The 3028-nt window shown below is 49.4% G+C and overlaps 1 annotated feature.

Moving 5' to 3' along the window:
- Positions 659–1159: an enhancer, noted in NCBI's record as "H3K27ac hESC enhancer chr9:131061384-131061884 (GRCh37/hg19 assembly coordinates)". NCBI's record gives its function as "activates a minimal SCP1, AML or CMV promoter by ChIP-STARR-seq in naive and primed H9 embryonic stem cells {active_cell/tissue: H9 hESC(naive and primed)}" and the evidence as "EXISTENCE:reporter gene assay evidence [ECO:0000049][PMID:30033119]".

Below are 3028 nucleotides of genomic sequence, written 5' to 3'. Positions count from 1 at the left end.
CAGATGAACCCTTCAGAAGTGACTACAGCAGGCGTGATATGACCTATTTTATGGGTGAAGAAACTAAGGCCAGGTAAGGTGAAGCTACCAGCCTGGCCTATGTCTACATGGTCTATCTCCATGACATGGCCTGCTGAGCTTTCTGTTTGGCCATAGTTTAAAAAACAAATAAAAAAACCATCCCTGCCACCATATCATCAATATCTTGATTTCCTCTGAAACATTCTGTTAGTCCCTGACTAACCCTATCCTCTGAGCACTTTATTTTTTTTTTATTTAATTTAATTTTTTTTTTTTTTTTGAGACTGAGTCTTGCTGTGTCACCCAGGCTGGAATGCAGTGGCGCAATTTGGCTCACTGCAAGCTCCGCCTCCCGGGTTCACACCATTCTTCTGCCCCAGCCTCCTAAGTAGCTGGGACTACAGGCGCCCGCCACCACACCCAGCTAATTTTTTGTATTTTTAGTAGAGACGGGGTTTCACCGTGTTAGCCAGGATGATCTTGATCTCCTGACTTCGTGATCAGCCCACCTCTGCCTCCCGAAGTGCTGGGATTACAGCCGTGAGCCACCGTGCCCAGCCAATTTTTTTTTTTTTTTTTGAGACGGAGTTTCACTCTTGTTGCCCAGGCTGGAGTGCAATGGAGTGATTTCGGTTCACTGCAATCACTCCCTCCAGGGTTCAAGTGGTTCTCCTGCCTCAGCCTCCCGAATAGCTGGGATTACAGGCCCACACCACCATGCCCAGCTAATTTTTGTATTTTTAGTAGAGACGGGGTTTCACCATGTTGGCCAGGCTGGTCTTGAACTCCTGACTTCAGGTGATCCACCTACCTTGGCCTCCCAAAGTGTTGGGATTACAGATGTGAGCCACCGTGCCCAGCCCCTCCGAGCACTTTAGCAGGAGCCTGGAAACTTATACCAGAGATAGGCTGGGTAACAGAAGGGACTAACATTAGTCACACCAAAGGAGCTCCTATCTCGGTGACTCTGTATCCGGATGCTGCTGTGGGTGGTGGAGGCTGATTAGGAGACAAGCATCGCAGGTAGGCGGCCAGGGTGTGGTTAGTGGTGGGGGTGGGGCTGCTGTCCCAGGGCCTTCCAGCAGCTATGGGGTCTGCAAAGCAGGCTGCGGTCAAAATGACCTCCTGCCCGCACTCTTCTTCCAGCAGTCCCCACCTCAAACCCTACATGTACTTTCTGACCACCTATGAAATCAGAAGCGAGAAGAGCCCTAAGATGGGAAAACAGGTCTTGCTCCTCCCTGGCAAACCAGCTGCGCAGGTTTGCTGGTGCAATTGTGGAGGGTGGAGGAGCGAGGAAACTCCAGGGAATGAATGGAGCCAGCAAATGCCAGGGTCTGGGAGACAGCTCTGGGGCGAATCCAGATAAAAATCATGCCTGGGTTTGATCTAGCACGGACCACAGCAAACATTTAGGGTCAGGTGGCTGTGTAGATGTGTTTGAAGATGGGCTGGTTTTGAGGCAGGATTTCAGAGGATGTGATTACTGGTAGTCAGAAGAAGCAATTTCATCAACCATCAAGGTACGCGCACAGAGCAATGTAGCAAGAACACCCAAGGGGCCAGGCGCGGTGGCTTATGCTTATAATCCCAGCACTTTGGGAGGCTGAGGCGGGTGGATCGCTTGAGGTCAGGAGTTCGAGAGCAGCCTGACCAACATGGTGAAACCCTGTCTCTACTAAAAATACAAAATTAGCTGGGCATGGGGGCACATGCCTGTAATCCCAGCTACTTGGGAGGCTGAGACAGGAGAATCGCTTGAACCCGGGAGGCGGAGGTTGCAGTGAGCTGAGATTGTGCCATTGCACTCCAGCCTGGGCAACAAGAGTGAAACTCTGTCTCAAACACAAAACAAAACAAAACAAAACAAAACAATACCCAAGGAGTTTATTAAAATATATTTTTGGGCCTGCAAAGTCAGGATTCCTAGAGGTTGGACACCCACATCTTTATTTATTTATAAGAGACAGCGTCTCTTTCTGTCACCCAGGCTGGAGTGCAGTGGCATGATCTCGGCTCACTGCAGCCTCGACCTGGATCCTCCTGCCTCAGTCTTCTAAGTAGCTGGAACCACAGGGATATGGCACCACACCTGGCTAATTTTTGTATTTTTTGTAGAGATGGGGTTTTGCTATGTTGCCCAAGCTGGTGTCAAACTTCTGGCTTCCAGTGATCCTCCCACCTCAGCCTCCCAAAATGCTGGGATTATAGGCACCCAGCCCCAAATCTTTATTTAAAAAATCCCTCTCAATCCCAGCAGTTTGAGAAGCTGAGGTGGGTGGATTGGTTGAACCCAGGAGTTCAAGACCAGCTTGGGCAACATAGGGTGACACAATCTCTACAAAAAATACAAAAATGAGTTGGACATGGTGGCATGTGCCTGTAGCCCCAGCTACTCAGGAGGCTGGGCTGGCAAGATGGCTTGAGTCTGAGAGGTTGAGGCTGTAGTAAGCCCTGATCACACCACTGCACTCCAGCTGGGTAACAGAGACAAGACAAGACCTTGTCTCCAAAACAAAACAAAACAAAACATCCCCCTCAGATAATTGTGATACTCAGAAGTTTGGGAATTAGTACCTGGCCTTTAAAGAGCAAGTGTTTGAAACCCCTTCAAACTCTGAGTCTGCTCCTTCTCTGTGCTTCCTTGGGAAAGTGACTTAACCTCTCTGAGCCTCATTTACCTCATTTGGATAATGGGGACAACTCTACCTACCTCTCAGGGTGGCCATGAGGAACACATGTGATAGGCAGAGCATTAGGCTCAGGGTCTGGCACAGAGAATGTTCTCCAAGTTAGAATGTGCTCATTAGCTGCTATAATGATTATTCCGCCAAGAACTTTTGGGATTGTGGGATGAACATGAGAAGCTGAAGGAGTCAAAGGTCAAGAGGGACTTTACTCCTGTCCAGAATTGCTGATGTTAGGAATGGGAGGCTCACTGGGAAGGAAGCCGAGCAGGCTACCTACAGGAACCAGGAAGGAGGGGCCCAGGCCAAGTCCAAGGCAG

This window comes from Homo sapiens, chromosome 9, assembly GCF_000001405.40.
Source record: "Homo sapiens chromosome 9, GRCh38.p14 Primary Assembly".
In the NCBI taxonomy this organism is placed as follows: domain Eukaryota; kingdom Metazoa; phylum Chordata; class Mammalia; order Primates; family Hominidae; genus Homo; species Homo sapiens.
The sequence above is the reverse complement of the archived record's forward strand: the minus strand, read 5'-3'. Positions and strand labels throughout refer to the sequence as shown.